The 20,171-nt window shown below is 46.2% G+C and overlaps 1 protein-coding gene across 2 annotated transcripts in view, besides 1 other annotated feature; it reads right to left on the bottom strand.

Annotated features, from left to right (window-relative positions):
• The window catches only part of UBASH3B (ubiquitin associated and SH3 domain containing B), a 158,752-nt gene that overhangs the window by 128,128 nt on the left and 10,453 nt on the right, over window positions 1-20,171 (bottom strand). The window lies entirely within an intron of this gene.
• Window positions 14,702-15,202: an enhancer, noted in NCBI's record as "H3K27ac hESC enhancer chr11:122541852-122542352 (GRCh37/hg19 assembly coordinates)". NCBI's record gives its function as "activates a minimal SCP1, AML or CMV promoter by ChIP-STARR-seq in naive H9 embryonic stem cells {active_cell/tissue: H9 hESC(naive)}" and the evidence as "EXISTENCE:reporter gene assay evidence [ECO:0000049][PMID:30033119]".

Below are 20,171 nucleotides of genomic sequence, written 5' to 3'. Positions count from 1 at the left end.
CCATGCGTGTTGACCAGTCTGCTTACATATTTCTCCTTGGTAGCCATTTGTCTCTTCCTCGACATGACTCAGCTCATAGGAGAAAAAACCTGCTTCTCTCAGCTCCACTTAGACTTTGTCTGGCAGACTTTTTGCTAAGCACTTAAGCAGTCCCAAATAATCATGTTCCCCAAAGGACTCCAAACCACTTAAGGCCATAGTTGAGATTGGACTTCCTCAGGGAGGAAGTGACCCGGGAAGAAACCTGCTCTTTTTAGTCTTTATTTTCCATGAGCAGAGGGAGAAGGGACTGGTGGTCTTGCAGAAAGAGCGCCAGGCAGGCCTGGGTTCAGTACCTGCTTTGCTCCTCCCTGGCGTGTGGGCTTGTGCAACTTAACCTCTCAGAGCCTCAGTTTTCTCCTCAATAAATGGTGGTAACATCATCTGTTCAGCCTGTATCCAAATAGGGCTGCTATGAAGCTCGAGGAAGACCCCATGAGGTGAAAATGCTTTGAAAATGTAACGAGCTATAAAAATGAGAGGTGCTGGCCGGGTGTGGTAGCTCACGCCTGTAATCCCAGCACTTTGGGAGGCCAAGGCGGGTGGATCACCTGAGGTCAGGAGTTCGAGACCAGCTTGGCCAACATGCTGAAACCCCGTCTCTACTAAAAATATAAAAAAAATTAGCTGGGCATTGTGGCAGACGCCTGTAATTCCAGCTACTCGGGAGGCTGAGGCAGGAGAATCGCTGGAACCCAGGAAGTGGAGGTTGCAGTGAGCCAAGATCACACCACTGCACTTCAGCTTGGGTGACAGAGCGACACAAAAAAATAATAATAGTAAAAAAGAAGTATTTTCATTATCACGAGGATGTGTCAGATTAAAACACTTTATATTTTGAAAACTCCATCTCTGCCTATAAATTGGAGTACTCACAGGCAGACACTTTCAGAGGGAAACCCTACCCTAGGTAAGAATGACAAAGATAAATTAATTTGCTCTATAGTATTTCTTGAGCACCTGCTCTGTGGCAAACACTCTTCCAGGCAGGAGAATCAGAGTAATGAATAAGACAGTCAAGGTCTTTGCTCTCAAAAAGCTACATCCCGGGGGTGGGGATATGGGACAGAGAATAAGCAAATAAAGAAGAAAAACAAGGCAAGTTGTCCTTCCACTGAAGGTACAATGGACTTTCACCATATTTTCCTATTCTGAGGCTGCAGAAGCATCAGCTGCAAATTCAGTGATAATCCAAGGAAAAGACCCAGAATTGGTGGAAAAAAGATAGTATTTTCCTCTTGCCGGGGGGCAAGATAATGCAGTTTCAGACCCGCGGCCCGTGAAGATATGTTGATGAGCCAGAAGAATGAAGGAATGAAACATCTGGACAAATGATTTATCAGTTATATAAGGATTTCTAGCCTCTGCTTGGAAGCCTTGTTGAAAGGCTCTCTTAAAAAATAACCACAGGCTGGGCGCAGTGGCTTACGCCTGTAATCTCAGCATTTTGGGAGGCCAAGGCGGGTGGATCACCTGAGGTCAGGAGTTCGAGACCAGCCTGACCAACATGGAGAAATCCCGTCTCTACTAAAAATACAAAAATTAGCTGGGCGTGGTGGTGCATGCCTGTAATCCCAGCTACTTGGGAGGCTGAGGCAGGAGAATCACTTGAACCCAGGAGGTAGAGGTTGCAGTGAGCCATTGCACTCCAGCCTGGGCAACAAGAGCGAAACTCTGTCTCAAAACAACAACAACAACAAACACAAACCTGCATCGCTTTGAGTTCCTCTTTACTTCTCCAAATTCAGGAAACTGAACCAAATATTTTCTGCTCTAAAATTGTTGATACCTCATCCTTCATAATATGTCACCCCTTCCAGGAAGCCTCACCTGCTTTAGTGAGGTTAACACACACTCTTCTCTGCAGCTCTTGCTATCTGTGAATAAGTACACACAGCATTTTCACAATATACCACCATTCCTAACTTTTGCTTGTCGCTCTCTAGAAGATAAGCAACCCCAGGCCAGGACTAGGCCTTCCTTATTTGATTTTGACTTCTTAGCACCTAGTATCAGGCAGATACATAGTAGGTACTCAATAAATGCTTATTCACTAGATCACTCCTCATTGATCAATCTTGTCTCTACAGCCAATTTATTAGATGGGTTGAATGTGCACACAGACTCTAGGATACGCCTTGTAAATGTGCATAATAGGACAAAATGTCTCATCTCATTCTATTCTTCAGCGACTTTCCCATTTTTTTCTATAAGAATGTGTGCTGTATCTGATGTTTTATCAAGAGTTTTTGGTCAAGTGAGCTTTTGATCCAAATGAGATCTATATTAAAAACTAATAGTTTCCTCTTGACTTAACTATCAACTTAAAGGAACTACAAGAAATAGATGTTCCCTGCCATCCAGGGCTGCAATCAGCATAATCTGGGCTATGGAGACTTTAGACATTAGACCTCGTCATCAACAAGAAAATTACAAATAAAAAAATCAGAAAAGACTGGGCAGGGAAGCTAACTACACTAAGAGACACAACCCTCCATCTCAAGTATAGATCTTATTTGAAACCTGGCTCACACACACACACACACACACACACACACACACAATTTTTTTTTAATTATAAGGCAATTGAGGATATGTGATCACTGACTAGATATTTGATAATATTAAGTAATTATTTTTCAGGTGTGATAATGATCCTGTGGTCATATTTTATTTTATTATTATTATTTTTTTTTTTTTTTGAGAAGGAGTCTCGCTCTGTCCCCCAGGCTGAAGGGCAGTGGCGCAATCTCAGCTCACTGCAACCTCCGCCTCCAGATTCTCCTGCCTCAGCCTCCCAAGTAGCTGGGATTACAGGCGTGCGCCACCACGCCCGGCTAATTTTTGTATTTTCAGTAGAAACGGGGTTTTGCTATGTGGGCCAGGATGGTCTCCAACTCCTGACCTCAAGCGATCTGCCCGCCTTGGCCTCCCACACTGCTGGGATTACAGGTATGAGCCACCATGCCAGGCCCTGTGGTCATAATTTAAATAGTCACAGTCTTTTAAAGATACAAACTGAAATACAGACTAAATGATACATCTAAGACTTTTTTTTTTTTTTTTTGAAACAAGGTCTCACTCTGTCTCCAGGCGGGAGTGCAGTGGCGGCTCACTGCAGCCTCGACTTCCAAGGCTCAAGGGATCCTCCCACCTCAACCTCCCAAGTAGCTGTGACTACAGGCATGCACCACCATGCGCCTGGGTAACTTATTTTTTGTAGAGATGGGGTCTTACTGTATTGCCCAGGCTGGCCGCAAGACCAACTCCTGGGCTCAAGCAATCTTCCTGCCTTGGCCTCCCGGAGTTTTGTGATTACAGGCATAAGCCACCATGCCTCACTCTAAAATTTAATTCAAAATTATATGGGGAGGGTGGGGAAGTGGGTGGTATTGATGAAACAGGATCAAGGATGAATTGCTTGACGCATTTGTTTTGTTATACTATTCTTACTACCTTAGGATAAGTTAGAAAATTTCCATTAAATTTTTTTAATCAGTAGTTTATTATATTTATAATCACTGTAGGATGGCTGGTGAATTCTACAGAGCAAGCTTCCCCGTGACAGTGCTGGGCTTGGTGCAGCTCCCTCTTGGAGGGGAGGGGAAGCTACAGGCAGCCCAGAGCTGGGTTATTCCTCTAGCCCTGCCAGGAGAGAATGAGAGGAGAGCTGGCCCCTAGTGTCCTAATTACCATCTTCCTCAAAGAAGCTCTCGGTTAGAAAGAGACGTGCATCTCAGGCTCCAGGAACCAAATGAAGGAGAAAGAAGTGTTTCTCAACTTTTTACAGGGAAAGATACAAACTCGGGAAAGGCAGACTGGAAAGAATATGGAATTTGGAGTCAGAAGGTTAGAGTCACTCCTTGCCCCACAACAGGGACAAGTGAACTTCTCAGGACAAGTGAACGCCTCAGCGTCCCCATCTATAAAAATGGGAATATAACTATCATCCATATCAAATAACTGCCACGAGGATGAGATGAGATCTCATACTGGACGGTGAGAGGCAGCTTGGTGCCGTGGGTCAGACTTGTGTCTGTTGGTGGCTCCGTTGTACCATCCACACAGTCAACTACTAAATAAATGAAAACTATTATAATTAATTATTTAAGAAAAAGCAATTTGTCCAAGGCCTCATGGTGCGTCGGCAGGGTTGGCAGGGTACTACGCAGGAGGAGAATTTGCACTCGCTATCCTCGCAGTGATCCCTCCGAGCTTCCAAGTGGCTGTACATGGGCAGATGATTCACGACTGGTGCTTTTTTGACAAGGCAGGGAGAACAGACAGGAGATGGGCCCATCTTGTTCTGACAGCTGGGCCACCCTGGGTGGCAGTGATGAGTCAGCCTTGCTGCTGCCACACTCAGCACACAAGGCTTCCCAAACCCAGGCAGAGCATCGTGGATCGCAGACACGCTGACCATGCAGTTGTGTGATGGCAACAGATGACTTGTCTCTTTGTGTCCCTTCCCCAAAAGTACTCAGTAACCTAACAGGCTTCTACCAGCCTCCAAATAGAAGCATCTTTTTTTCAAACCCTGAAGGGATCAAGCAAGCCAGAGGGGTAAGCATGTGGGTTTGCATGCATGTGCCTGTGTGTGTGTGTGTGTGTGCATGTGTGTACAGAAGAATGCATATGAACCTGTGCCTATTACCCCTGCAGACAGCATGCTATCCCAGTGTCATGGTGGAAGAACAAGGAACAGGACATTCAAACAGTGGATGACCAGGTCCCTACTTCCCAGGACTCGGCTTTCTTTGGAGGGAAGCTTATCCATGTTCCCCGAGGACCTACTACACACGTGATTTCAGAGTGGACTGTTCAGTGTGGCTTGTCTGGGACTTATATTCTCAATCTCATCATTGCCTTTCTGTGTCCAAAACCAAAGCATCAGAGGTACAAGAAGGCAAAACTCCATTTCCTCTGTGAGCACTGTTCCTGTTTGACTGAGGAATCTGGCTAGAACAAGAAGAAATAGGGCCAGAGTTGGGGCTATGTATGTAGAAATTTTGGGTGGATTTAAAGAAATCAACGTCTTGGATTTTGTCACAAGAAAAATCACTTAGACACCCTACAGTTATGGATAAGAAACCAAATGGAATGCTTGATTCATTCTATTATGCTTTTAAGTAACTATTACAATGAATGATTCATTAATTACTATGAAAGAGCAAGGTTTCAACAAAAACAAATACGAATAAATTAAATAATTTCTAGCGAAACTTCATTTGTTATGGAATAGCACCTAATCTAACTTTTATTTTGCTAAATAAAAAAGAGTTTTGGTATCTTATTTCAGGTATTGAAATGCCTCGGGTCTTGCTCTGGACAAACACATTGCCCTGGGACCGGCTGCTCACAGCATTTTGGCTTTGACACGGCAGCTCTGACATTAAAAAGCCCTTAACTAACCATTTGCAACATATCAGAAAAAAGGTTAATTTGCCTTTTACGCATCCTTTACTCTGCTCTGTTGTAGAGGAGAAAAGACAGGACTCTGGTTCTCCTTTCAAATCAGTTATGCATAGAATAAAGGAAGAGCACAGACAGGCACGGTGGCTCACGCCTGTAATCCCAGCACTTTGGGAGGCTGAGGCGGGTGGATCACTTGAGGTCGGGAGTTCAAGACCAGCCTGACCAACATGGAGAAACTCCGTCTCTACTAAAAATACAAAATTAGCCAGGCATGGTGGCACATGCCTGTAATCCCAGCTACTCAGAAGGCTGAGGCAGGAGAATCGCTTGAACCCAGGTGTCAGAGGTTGCGGTGAGCCAAGATCGCGCCATTGCACTCCAGCCTGGGCAACAAGAGCGAAACTCCGTTTCAAAAACAAAAATAAAGGGAGAGCACTTGATAGGAAGGCAGCAGACCTGCATTGAAGTCCTAACCAGTAACAAGCTGTGCTACTCTCAGCAAGTCACTGTCCCACTCTGAGTCTCTATTTCCTGATCTGAAAATAAGGACTTAGTGTAGGTGTCCTTCCCCGTGCCTTTGATTTTCACAATCACTCTCTGAAGCATATAGTTCAGGAGGTTTTATTTGAAGCTGAAGATACAGAAACCCACAGATCAAGAGCCAGCAAACTACAGCCCAGGGGCCAAACCAGCCCACCTCCTGCTTTTGTACAGCCTGTGAGCTAAGATGGTTTTCACATTTTTAAATGGTTAAAATAATTGGTTGGGCATGGTGGCTCACGCCTGTAATCCCAGCACTTTGGGAGGCCGAGGCGGATGGATCACTTGAGGTCAGGAGTTCGAGACCAGCCTGGCCAACATGGTGAAACCCCATCTCTACTAAAAATACAAAAATTAGCCGGCTGTGGTGGTGGGTGCCTGTAATCCCAGCTACTCAGGGGGCTGAGGCAGGAGAATCACTTGAACTTGGGAGGCGGAGGTTGCAGTGAGCCAAGATCGTGTCATTGCACTCCAGCCTGAGTGACAGAGAGAGACTCCATCTCAAACCAAAAAGAAAAGAAAAGAAGAAAAAAATCAAAAGAAGAATGACATGTTGTGACTGATGGAAATTATATGAAATTAAAATTTCAGTGCCCACAAATAAACTTTCATTGGAACACAGCCATGCTTATTTGTTTATATATCATCCATGTCTGCTATTGCAAAACAGCAGAGCTGAGTAGCCACCATGGAGACCATATGGTCGGCCAAGCCTGAAATATTTACTCTCTGGCCCTCTACAGAGTTTGCTGGTCCTTGCTAGAGATCAAGGTGTCCCAGACTTCAGTGTACATACCAATCACCTAAGGATCTTATTAAAGTGGAGATTCTAACGTAGTGGGTTTGAGGTAGAGCTGAGATTCTATGTTTCTAACAAGCTCCTGGTTGGTACCAAAAGGGCTGGTCTGAGGACCACATTTTGAGTGGCGAGGCTATGCTCTCTCAGACAAATCTGGTTACATCGTGAACTTGCTCACCATCCTTTGGTGCCTTTCCGGGGCCTTCAAAATAAACTGAGACTCCCTAGTACCATGCAATTGTCGCCAGCTTCTCCAGCTCCTCTGCCCCCAAATACACTGCGTTGGTGCACCAGGATTTCTCATCCATCGTGCCTATGCACGCACTGACCTCTTCACCTACACTATCCCCTCCTCGCCCCACCCCTTCACCCTCAACATGTCCAGTTGCCCAACTCCCTGTCTTCCCAACCTCAGCTCCAGTGGCACCTCCTTAGAGTGGATCCTTCCTGGATCCTGTGAGTCTTGTGCTTTCTGGGCTACGTGGCTTTTAGTCAGGTCTCTTAGTACCTCGTGTACCTCTTCACAGCCTGAATTACATGGTTATGACACTACGGCTCTTAAACACAGAGGCATCCTTGTTTATTCCTGCATATCCAGCAGCCAAGCACAGTTCTTGGTACATCATGGGGTATAATGAGTGTTATTTGGGATGGCACAAATGAATTACCCAGGATTATGCAGCAAATCAGGCGAAACGCTGGGACTAGAGCCCACACTTTCTAAATCCTGGTACGCGGTTCCTTTGCTCTAAGCTATGCCTCATAAGTGGATACTCATTCTCCTGACTGATGGAGGAATTTGTTCCACAGCATTCCAAACTCTGAATGGTCTGAAACTCTTAAGAGATTTTGGGAATGGCAGCCCCTCCCCATGACTGACTATTTTGTGGAGCACAAGGGTCAATCAGCTCCTGAAAACACACCTTTCAGCCTCTGGGCAGTGGGTCCTGGGATGATGGTGGCAGTGCCTGCTGGACCATCACATATACTAGTGAGTCATGTGGAAGTGATCCCAAGTGGTTAGTGAGAGACCTAGGAAAGAGATTTAGCCTTCACCATCTTCACTCCTAGAGGCTGCAGGCATTTCCCTTCTCACTTCTTATGGTTTCTATTTTCTTATTGGACATCTGGACTCAAAGGAACATGGGTCAGCCAGACAGATCTAGGCTGAGTGCAGCCACAATGGAAAGAAGGGCAGAGAGGATGGTCCCCATTGTGACCCCTGCTAGCTGACAGGGCTGTGGCAGGATGGAGTAGGGTCCCACCTGGCCTCAAATTCCCACCATTCAGTCACATAGGTATTCTCTCCAGGTCACTGATGGCTGATATGAACTGAACTGAATTGTTTCCTCTTAAAATTCATATATTGAAGCCCTAACCTTTAATATGATGGTATTTGAAGATGGGGCCTTTGGGAGGTAATTAGGGTTAGACAAGTTCATGGGAGGAATTCTAATGATGAGATTAGTGCCCTTGGCTCATGCCTATAATCCTAGCACATTGGAAAGCCTCAGCAGGCACATCACCTGAGGTCAGGAGTTTGAGACCAGCCTTGCCAACATGGCAAAATCCCATCTCTACTAAAAATACAAAAACTAGCTGGGCATGGAGGTGGGAGCTGGGTGTGGTGGTGGGCACCTGTAATCCCAGCTACTCAGGAGGCTGAGGCCGGAGAATTGCTTGAATCTGGGAGGCAGAGGTTGTGGTGAGCCAAGATTCTGCCACTGCACTCCAGCCTGGGCAACAGAGTAAGACTCTGCCTCAAAAGCAATAGTACCCTTATAAGAGCCTTTTTTTTTTCGAGAGGGAGTTTTGCTCCTCTTGCCCATGCTGGAGTGCAATGGCACCATCTCAGCTAGCACAGGGTATACAAAATAATAAATGTTAATAAAAGGTTATTAAAGAGATGAATGAATGGAGTGCTTATTATGTACCAGGCACCATGCAAAGGGCTAGGGAAAGATAAAAGACTAAGATACTATCTCTCCAAGGAGTCACAGTCTAGTCTGGGAAACTGACATAAGCTGACTTTGATGATGTGATAATGGTAAGTGCTCCACCAGAGGCACGGCATCAGGTACGTACAATGTTCCAGGGCAGCACAGACGCACATAAACACATTCTGCCTCGAGATGGGAATGTAGTATATAGGAGTTAGGAATGGATAATGCAACCTGAGAAATTTTCTCAAAGGAGAGAATATTTGAAAAGAACGTACAGTACTCCCTTGGTATCCATAGGGGAATGATTCCAGGACCTCCCTCAGATATCGAAATCCTCAAGTCCTTGATATAAAATGGTGCAGTATTTGCATATAACCCATGCACACCCTCCTGTGTACTTTAAATCATCTCTGGGTTACTTATAATACCGATTACAACATAGAAGCTATGTAAATAGTTGTTATACTGTATTGTTCAGGAAATAATGGCAGGAAAAAATTCTGTTCATGTTCAGTACACATGCAATTTTTCCCCCCAATATTTTTGATTTGCAATTGGTTGAAACAACAAATTCAAAACCTATGGACATGGAGGGCCGACTGTATAACATTTCATCTAAGAGAAAAATGTACCCAGGATGAAGTTATCCATGGATTCATCAACAAACATAAGCAAGACCCAGAGGTGTTGAAAATGCAAGGGCTTGAGTGATAAAGGCGGCTTTCATAAAGGTGGCTGAGTCACACAGAAGAGCCTGGGGGCGGGAGGCAAAGGTGAGCAGGAAGGGCCAGAAGGTGACAGTGATGCCAGGAAATACAGAAGGGAGCCTGAGGGGAAGACAGGGAGACAACAGTTCAATAATGCAGGGATGCTGGAATGTCGCTATTTAGAATTTTTTTTTAGACAGGGTCTGGCTCTGTCACTCAGGCTGGAGTACAGTGGCACATTCTTGGCTCACTGCAACCTCCATCTCCTGGGCTCAAGCAATCCTCCCACCTCAGCCAGTGTAACTGAGACTACGGGCCTGTGCCACCATGCCCAACTAGTTTTTGTATATATTATTTTTTTGAGATGGAGTTTTGCTCTTGTTGCCCAGGTTGGAGTGCACTGGCGCAATCTCGGCTCACTGCAACCTCTGCCTCCCAGGTTTTCAAGCGATTCTCCTGCCTTAGCCTCTTGAGTAACTGGGATTACAGGCACCTGCCACCACGTCCAGCTAATTTTTGTATTTTTAGTACAGACACGTTTTACCATGTTGGCCAGGCTGGTCTTGAACTCCTGACGTCAGGTAAACCACCTGCCTCGGCCTCCCAAAGTGCTGGGATTACAGCTGTGAGTCATCCTGCCCAGCCAGTTGTTGTATTTTTTTAGTAAAGACGGGGTTTCTCCTTGTTGCCCAGGCTGGTCTCGAACTCCTGGGCTCAAAGCGATCCTCTTGCCTCAGCCTCTCAAAGTGTTGGGATTACAGGCCTGAGCCACCACACCCAGCCAAAAATTTTTTTAATGAAATCTTACAAGGGCTGTTAGGGTGAGGTGGGAGAGCTGAGGGGTCTAAAGCCAGATAAACTTCAGTGCATTGGCACAGTCACTTCTGAGTGGGATAAATCCTTTAATGTATCTGTCTTGCTTTTCTCATTTGTAAAATGGAAGTACTGCTTACTACTTTCCTCAGGATTGGGAAAAGAGTAAAATTACACATAGTAGGTTCAGAACAAATGTAAGCTCTCACTCTCTCTCTATTTAATTGTAAAGAAGTTCCAAATACCCTGCAGTTCCAAGATGGTCCGCTGCAAACTGGAGGAAAATGGGCTCTGCCTTCAGCAGGTGCCTCCTTGTTTTGTGATTATCTACTGTGTATGCGTCTATCTCCTTCCTACTCTCAGGAATTCACTGGGGCCAGGATTACATCCTGTTTATCTCTGGGGGCCATGGACCCCAGTGCTTGGCTCATCAGAGGTGCTCCTTGCAGCTTTGAAGAACTAAATTGCACAGATGGGCAAAGCAGACATAAACTGTCTTACCCAAAGTCACAGGACAGAACAGCGGCTGAGCTAGTTCTAGAACTTTGACCTCACAGTCCATTGATTTCATGATGCCACATGGTCTCAGACCAAACAGAACAAAGACTCTGATCTCATCCAGTGACATATCAATTCCTCTCCAAATCCCCACCAAATGGGAACTGCCACAGAACGCTGAGCATCCGCGTCACCTTTCTCTTTCTCAGAACAGCATCCACACTTTCACACGGAGGAACAGAACCAACACTCAAAACAACTCTTAAAACACTTTCCTGCAATGTGGTCTCTAAACACAGGAAACAGCAGCTGGCTGCATTGCCAGTAATGCTTATTTGCCAGTCAGGGTGCTAGAGCTCTGTGTGCAAGTTTAAAGCTGTGATCCAGGAACAAAAATAAACCAGCAAAGCAGAAACCGAGGCACCATAAACACGGGTCTAATAAAAGGTTTTTGGAGCCAGGAAAACTTGGGTTAGGGACCCAGCTCTGCCACTTAATCATGGTGCATGTTTAATAAACTCAGTTTCCTCATCTGTAAAATGGGTTTATTAATACTAACTGCAGGCCAGGCACGGTGGCTTATGCCTGTAATCCCAGTACTTTGGGAGACGAAGGTGGGTGGATCACCAGAGGTGAGGAGTTCGAGACCAGCCTGGCCAACATGGTGAAACCCTGTCTCTACAAAAAATACGAAAATTAGCCGGGTATGATGGTGCACGCCTGTAATCCCAGCTCCTCAGGAGGCTGAGACAGGAGAATCGCTTGAACCCAAAAGGCGGAGGTTGCAGTGAGCTGCGATTGTGCCACTGCACTCCAGCCTGGGCCTCAGAGCGAGACTCCGCCTCAAAAAAAAAAAAAAAAAAAAAACTAACTGCAGAGCTTTGCTGTGCTGAGTAAGAAGACAATGTTTGGGCTGGGCGCGGTGGCTCATGCCTATAATCCCAGTACTTTGGGATGCCGAGGAGGGCAGATCACGAGGTCAGGAGATCAAGACCGTCCTGGCTAACATGGTGAAACCCTGTCTCTACTAAAAATGCAAAAAAATTAGCCGGGTGTGGTGGCGGGCGCCTGTAGTCCCAGGTACTGGGGAGGCTGAGGCAGGAGAATGGCGTGAACCGGGGAGGCGGAGCTTGCAGTGAACTGAGATCGCGCCGCTGCACTCCAGCCTCAGCAACAGAGCTAGACTCCGTCTCAAAAAAAAAAAAAAAAAAAGACAGACAATGTTTGTAAGGTGCCATGGCTTATGATTGGCACATAAGAGATGACTGAATGGTATTTACCTCCAACAGCTTTGAGAATCTAATATGAATTCACTTGACAAAATCCAGCTCTTCAGAGGAACGAGGGGCCCCAACTCGAGTTATTTTCACTAGCTCTTTCATGATTCCATAGCACCGTTTACATCTCTGTGTTTGTGGGCACTTAGCAGACTGCTGTATACTTATTTGGTTTTCTTTTTTTATTTTGATATAATTTAATTTTTATTTTTGTTTTCCCTACTAGACTGGGAGCACCAAGGTGGCAGCTCATTCTCTAGCCATATCTGTTTCTTTTGATACTAGCAGAGCACACACTTAATAAATGTGTGTGGGAAAAACAACAACACAGCCCTATTAACAGGAAATTAGTGGAAGAAAAAGAGGCATCCTGAACCCTAGATATGCAGCTCTAAAAAGATACTCTAATATTCTGGCAGGAGTCCAGCAGTAAGCTGAGAAAGGCTGAAGAAATTTGAGAGTACTTCCTTCTTCATCATGATCTTCTTTTTCTTTTAAAGTAGAAAATCCCCTCTGCAGAAAGAGCAATTCCAGAGCAAAGAGGACCAAACAAGGAGATAGGATTGGACTCTTTAGCAAAAAAATATGCATTCTCTCCATCATCAGAAATTGCAGTGACAATAGAAAGAGCGCCAGGCCTTCTGGAACTTTTTTAAGTGACGGAGTCTCACTCTGTCGCCCAGGCTGGAGTGCAGTGGAGCCATCTCGGCTCACTGCAAGCTCTGCCTCCCGGGTTCACGCCATTCTCCTGCCTCAGCCTCCCGAGTAGCTGGGACTACAGGCGCCCGCCACCATGCCTAGCTAATTTTTATTTTTATTTTTGTATTTTTAGTAGAGACGGGGTTTCACCGTGTTAGCCAGGATGGTCTCGATCTCCTGACCTTGTGATCTGCCCGCCTCAGCCTCCCAAAGTGCTAGGATTACAGGCGTGAGCCACCGCGCCCAGCCCTGGAACTTTCTATGGTAAGGAGTTAAAGGTTGGCTAAGGCTATTCCTTTTACTGCTGAAAACTTCAGCCTCCTAACTTACAAATTCAAATCCTCCTGAGTCTCAAGGGCCTGCATCCCCAGCTCAACAGTTCCTTTTCTTCCTCCTAAGGTGGCTGTTCTGCCCTGGCTTGGTTACACTGGACTTGCTTCCCATCTCCTTTGCTGAGGCCTCTCTCAGCAGTAATCCCTTCCCAAAATGCTGAGCACAACTCACTGTCACGTGCCCAGAGGCCAGACAGTGGCTGGCCAGTGAACGCTTGCCCAACCAGCGAATGCTGAGGGCTCATCTTTCCTAAGGCCATTGCTCAATTCCATCAGTTCATCACTGCACATCCCCTCAGCCCTGGGGTATGGATAATCCATCCCTAACCAACCTGAGAATCATGCCCATGAAAGCCGCTATCCAGAAGCTGATCCATAAAGGACACCCCTAGAGGCCATGTCCCTACTGCAGGCTGGCCCAGCCTGGTCCCCCAGGGACTTTAGGTATGCTCCTGACTCCAACACAGAATGCTTGGGTCCTTCTGAGGAGGCTAACCAGGAAGCTCTGCTGTGCTCACTCAGAACCAGAGAAAACTCTCGCTGAGGAGGTCGAGCATCTGTACGTGGGCCAATGGTTTCCAAAAGTTGTTTTTTCTTGTGAACTGAAATCTGACCCTGTCCCCAGCAATTATAACCACTCATTAAAGTTCACAAAATAGGCCGGGCACTGTGCCTCACGCCTGTAATCCCAGCACTTTGGGAGGCCGAAACAGGCAGATCACCTGAGGTCAGGAATTCGAGATCAGCCTGGCCAACATGGTGAAACCCCATCTCTACTAAAAACACAAAAAGTAGCTGGGTGTGGTGGTGTGCATCTGTGATCCCAGCTACATGGGAGGTTGAGGTTGAGGCAGAAGAATCGCTTGAATCCGGGAGGCAAAGGTTGCAGTGAGCCAAGATTGTACCACTGGACTCCAGCCTGGGTGACAGGGAGACTCCATCTCAAAAAAAAAAAAGTTCACAAAATAGGCATCCGTTTTTCAGTTGACAGCCCTTTCACTCTTAGAGGAGAGATACCCTCCATCCCTCTCCATCATACCACATTATGTTGAAGTCATCTGCTTGGGTCTGTCTTCTTCAAGAGGTTGAGGGCTCCTTGTGGTCAGGGTCTTATTCATGATTGTACCTTCAGAATGCGGCACAATTCCCAGGTGCCTGACACAAAGTCACTGCTCAGTAAACTTTTGTTGGACTAACAGGAGCCTGGTTCTGTCCTGCCTCAACATCTTCCTTATCTCTGCATGTCTTTTCCAGACTAAACATCGGTAGCCCTGCATGACCTGTTTCCCAGGACAACCCATTCTGGGGCAGCGGCTGGTGCCCCAGCATGCAGAAGATGGAAAAGGAACATTAAAAAACCAAACAACAAAAAACAAACCAAAAAAAACTTCACATACTGAGATTCCATCCTCCACATCCTTCGGAGCCAGCTGCACAGCAAACAGCAACCGTCTGTTTACTCAACACCCCCTGGGAGTCATCCCATTCGGAAGTCTTCACCAGTCACGCACAATGCAGGCCATCTCACCGAGGCGGTTTTCCTGGTGTCCCACCGCTCTTCCTCTGAGGCCCATCTCTCCTGCTCCACTGGTCTGTAAGGCTGGCAGCCACAGGCCGGAACAAGACAGCCCACTTGTGGCCTCCCTGCCAAGGCCTGATGGATAAAGTGATACCGGGAGATCTGTGGTGTCTGAGGCGGCCAGACAGCAAGGGGACACAGCTGTCTGTTCAGCCTTCCATTTGTGGGCCTGTGGTCTTACGTTTGGAGGAAGATAAGAACTTCAAATATTCTCCTCCAACCTGATGTAGAAAAGCTGCTGCAGATCTGAGGCCTGACGTCCCAGGAGGGTATCTTGATTGCTCAGTGGATCTTCAAGACCAGGTGCACACCACCATGCTGGCTAATTTTTATGCATTTTTTGTAGAGATGGGGTTTTGCCATGTTGCCTAGGCTAGTCTTGAACTCCTGGCCTTAAGCAATCTGCCTGCCTCATCCTCCCAAAGTGCTGGGATTATAGGCGTGAGCCACTGCGCCTGGCCCATGGATTTTTCTTGACAAGGCAGCAGCTCTGAACTTGCGAGGCCAGGCAGAAGGCAGGAGTGGTGTGGCTCCCACTGCGCACTGAGGAGCGCCACACTCCTAAGCCAGCTCCCCGCATCTCTGTTCCCCTCCTCAGAACACTCATCACACAAACTGAATGCTATTTTAATTATTCCTTCTAGCAGGGTGTGGTGGCTCACGCTTATAATCCCAGCACTTTGGGAGGCCGAGGTGGGCAGATCACCTCTGGTCAGGAGTTCGAGACCAGCCTGGGCAACGTGGCGAAACCCCATCTCTACTAAAAATACAAAAATTAGCCGGGCGTGGTGGAGCACGTCTGTAATCTCAGCTACTCGGGAGGCTGGGGAAGGAGAATCGCTTGAACCTAGGAGGCGGAGATTGCAGAGAGCCACAGTCGCACCATTGCACTCCAGCCTGGGCAACAGAGCTCAGTCTCGATAAATAAATAAATGAATAAATAAATAATAAATTATTCCCTAGGCTCCATCTAGGTCTTGAGGAGGCTGGGGAGGAAACAGAAACACACTCTTACCAGAAGACTTAGAATAGTTTATTAACATACCCAGAGTCCCCTTCTGTACTCAACACTGTAAGCCCAACCACCATGCCTACCATTTATCGTGCACTTAAGGTCAGGCTCTGCACTCACCATTCTTATGTGTATTATCTCATCTAATCATTGTAACAATTCCTTGAGGCACAGACTATTACCTTCATTTAACAGAAGACAAAACTGAGCTTAGAGGAATTTGGTAACCTAAGTGGAGTAGGAATTTGAATGTACATCAGTTTGATCATACACTCAAGTACCAGACACACCACTCTGCATTCTGCCCCAGGAGCCCTTTCTTGAGGCCACAAGAATAGGAACATGCTTCCTATTTCTACCACAGAGGTTCATCTGGCAGCAGCAGGTGGAGGCTGGGATAGGTGGTTGGCAGAGACTTGGTGCTCTGTGACCCGTAAGTACAATCCTGTCCCCATTTTCTCACAGTTGGGAGCTGAGATGGGCAGTGTATATACACACACACACACACACACATTCACACTCAGAAACACATACACACACACACTATTCCAGAAAGTGTGATAACCATTCCAACTCCAGACCACATCACTAGACAGCCAACCCCACTGCATTTAGCTGGGGCCAAGTCAAAGAACAAACCAATGGGCAAGTCGGGTTGCCCTCTTGACCCCAGTTCCATGTAATCTAGAGACTTCATATCATTTATTTAGATCTCAAGTTTCCTTCCTTCTGCTGTTCATCAAACCTTCATGAACACTAGCTACATGCCAATACCATGGATGCTGGCTAAGAACTCTTGAGTGTGCAGTTGATTGCCTGGGATTTGCATCCTGGTTTCTACCACTTTCTAGCTGTGTGATGTTGGGCAAGTTCAAATCTCTGTGCTTCAGTTTTCTTATCTGTAAAATGGGTATAATAATAGTTCCTATCTCATAGGGTTGTTATGAAGAATAAAACAAAATAATACATATGTTAGGTGTTTAAAATATTGTCTGGCACACTGTAGGTACCCAGTGAAGGTTAGCTATGACTACCTGGTGCTTGGGTTGGAAATGGTAAGGGTGACAAGTTAGTAACAGAAATGTCATGAACTCAGGGGAAAGGCAGACCAAGCGCTTACATACACACATGCTGTGGCTGACAGAATAATAGTCACCAAAGCTGTCCATGTCCTAATCTGCAGACCCTGTGAATATGTGACCTTACATGGCAAAAGAGACTTTACAGATGTGATTCAGCTGAGGAGCTTGAGCTGGGAAGATATAATCATTAGGGCCCTTACAAGGAAAGGAGTGAGGCAGGAGAGTCACAGACAGAGACAGGAGGTGATGATGATGAGGAGGGCTTGGAGTGACGTACTTGAAGATGGAGGAGGAAGGGGCCACTAGCCAAGGGATGGAGGCGGACTCTGGAAAAAGTCAAGGAAACACATTCTTTCCAGGAAGAACACGGTTCTATTGACGCGTTGACGTTAGCCTATGATATGCATTTCAGACTTTTGACTTCCTAACTGAATAAATGGGAATGCATGTGTGTTGTTGTAAGCCACTGAATTTGTAGTAATTTGTGAGAGCAGCCATAGGAAGCTACTACACATGCTTTTGGCTATATTTGCTGCATTTCACAAAGCCTCTTGTATTTCACAAAAGCCACCTGCTAACTCATTATGACTCATGTCCCTAGTTCCCAAGGGATAAAGTGAAAATTTAAGCTTCCAGAAGGATGTGTTTACTTTGGTGGAGATGGCTTCTCGAGTGACTCCTTCTGTTCCTCACGCTGACGGAATTAGCCTCTCTGAAACAGTGGTGCTTGGCAAGGAAGAAGACTAGAATAGCCCACTAAATACCACACAAAACCAACAGTTCACAGTACTTTGAGAGCCTCAAAGTACCAGGACCCAATTGTTGGTAACAAATAATAGTATCACTTTGCATGTGCATGACTTTTTGTGGTTTTTATTACTTTTATATCCACTGCCTCATTTCGATGCAGCCACCTATAGAAATAACGTTCAAAACCACATCCTCAGAAAGTGACAGATCCAGGACTTGAGCCAAGTCTTTTGTCTCTAAAGCCAATTTTCTTTCTGCTATAGCAGAATATCGCTTGTTCTTACCCTCATGGATGGGTGACTGAGACTACTGTCTATCCCTTCAATATCCTATCACTGGTACAAGTGGCACTTTCTCACCCAAGCATCTCACCCACCTAGAGAGATGCCCACTCCCATGGCCTACGGACAGGTTAGCTTTGTCTTCTACAGGCTGAGATGCAAACAAAAGGCCAGAAGCAAGAGAGGAGCAAAAGGAAAAGACAGAGAAAACCATATGAAAAGGCTAATTCAGAGAACAGATCCTCCCATTCTTCCAGAAAACAGAGCCAAAACCTTGTTAGAAAGCTGACTCGGCCACGCATGGTGGCTCAAACCTGTAATCCCAGCACTTTGGGAGGCCGAGGTGGGAGGATCACCTGAGGTCAGGAGTTCAAGACCAGCCTGGCCAACATAGTGAAACCCCAACTCTACTAAAAATACAAAAAAAATAGCCTGGTATGGTGGCAGGCGCCTGTAATCCCAGCTACTTGGGAGGCTGAGGCAGGAGAATCGCTTGAACCTGGGAGGCAGAGGTTGCAGTGAGCTGAGACTGCATCATTGCACTCCAGCCTGGCAACAAGAATGAAATTCTATCTCAAAAAGAAAGAACAAAAGAAAGCTGTCTCTAGGTGCCTGGACTCAGAGAAGTAGCCTGATATGGAAAAAAGAAACCATGGTCTCAACTGAGATCAGCAGGCCTAAGCTCTGGTTTCTATCACAGACTAGCCGTGTGGGATCTTGAAAATATCACTTCATTTTCTGGTCTCATTTTACTTAAGTGTAAAGAAAAAGGGTACTAGACTAGATGAGCCCTACTAGCAATTCCAGCTACAGATTTCTGAGCGTCTACCTCTGGAGGTTTCTTCCAAGCAGGATCTTACACCTGAGGCATAATATTAAATTATTTGAACTGTCTACTGGCCTTCCCAGAATTTTTCCTCTCCTCTCAAACTGAAGAGTATTGCTCCTGTCTTATTGGTGCTTCAGATGTAATCGTGTGCTCCCTGTCTGGTTTATGACCCTCACCCTCCCACACTGATGTGTCTTCCATCTTCTGTCTCTTGCCTCGCATTTACCACGCTTTATCATAATCGTGTATCTTCCACCCTAGATTGCCAGTTTCCTGAGGGTGGAGATTATAGCTAATTATCTTTATACTCTCAACTCCTGTTATAATAGGATATTATAGTTGCACATAAATGTGTGAAGTGTCTGTACAGTATATACATACATATACAGAGAGAGAGAAAGAATGGACTGGGCGCGGCGGCTCACATCTGTAATCCCAACACTTTGGGAGGCTGAGGCGGGTGATCACCTGAGGTCAGGAGTTTGAGACCAGCCTGGCCAACATGGCAAAACCCCGTCTCTACTACAAATACAAAAATTAGCCAGGTGTGGTGGTGGTGCGTGCCTGTAATCCCAGCTACTTAGGAAGCTGAGGCAGGAGAATCGCTTGAACCCAGGAGGCAAAGGTTGCAGTGAGCTGAGATCACAACATTGCACTCCAGCCTGGGTGACATAGTGAGACTCTTTCTCAAAAAAAAAAAAAAAAAAAAAAAAGAATGCCATTATCAGGGGATTTGTCATGGAGAAAGTGGCTGAGGACCCTGGGCAGATCACTGTGCATCTTCATAGGTGATTTGGGGTAATCCCCTTAGTCTGGCTTGCTTCACAGGGTGTGAAGCTTAATAAGACTTGTGGCAGAAGAGATGAGGAGAGTGAGAGAGGAGGGGAAGAGAAAGTGAAAAGAAGGGAAGAGGAGCCAGATGCATTACAGTGGAACTAGTTCTCCAGGATGGGTAAAATCTGATTAGGAAAAAAGAGGGGAAAAAAATGAGCAATCAGGCAATTCAAGGAAAAGTTGATTCAAAATGAAACTGCAGCTGGGCGCGGTGGCTCATGCCTGTAATCCCAGCACTTTGGGAGGCCGAGGCGGGTGGATCACAAGGTCAGGAGATCGAGACCAGCCTGGCAAACATGGTGAAACCCCGTCTCTACTAAAAATACAAAAATCAGCTGAGCATGGAGGCGCGCGCCTGTAATCCCAGCTACTCAGGAGGCTGAGGCAGGAGAATTGTTTGAACCCGGGAGGCAGAGGTTGCAGTGAGCCGAGATCGTGCCATTGCACTCCAGCCTGGGTGACAGGGCGAGACTCCGTCTCAAAACGAAAAACAAAACAAAAAACAAAAGAAAAAAAAAACAAAAACGAAACTGCAGATGCCATGGTTGAGAACTCCAGCGACCCTGCATCGTTCCACATGTCTGTGTCTAAATAGACTGTACACAAAAGCAGCCATGAGGCAGATTTCTTCCTAAGGTAAAGGAATAAACACTTAGGGAGCGAACGCTCTCTGTAAATGTTTTTGAAAGGCGCACCATCAACGTGGAAGCAGGATTCTAAACAATCCTGCTACCTGAATCAC

Source organism: Homo sapiens, chromosome 11 (genome assembly GCF_000001405.40).
Source record: "Homo sapiens chromosome 11, GRCh38.p14 Primary Assembly".
Taxonomy (NCBI): domain Eukaryota; kingdom Metazoa; phylum Chordata; class Mammalia; order Primates; family Hominidae; genus Homo; species Homo sapiens.
The sequence above is the reverse complement of the archived record's forward strand: the minus strand, read 5'-3'. Positions and strand labels throughout refer to the sequence as shown.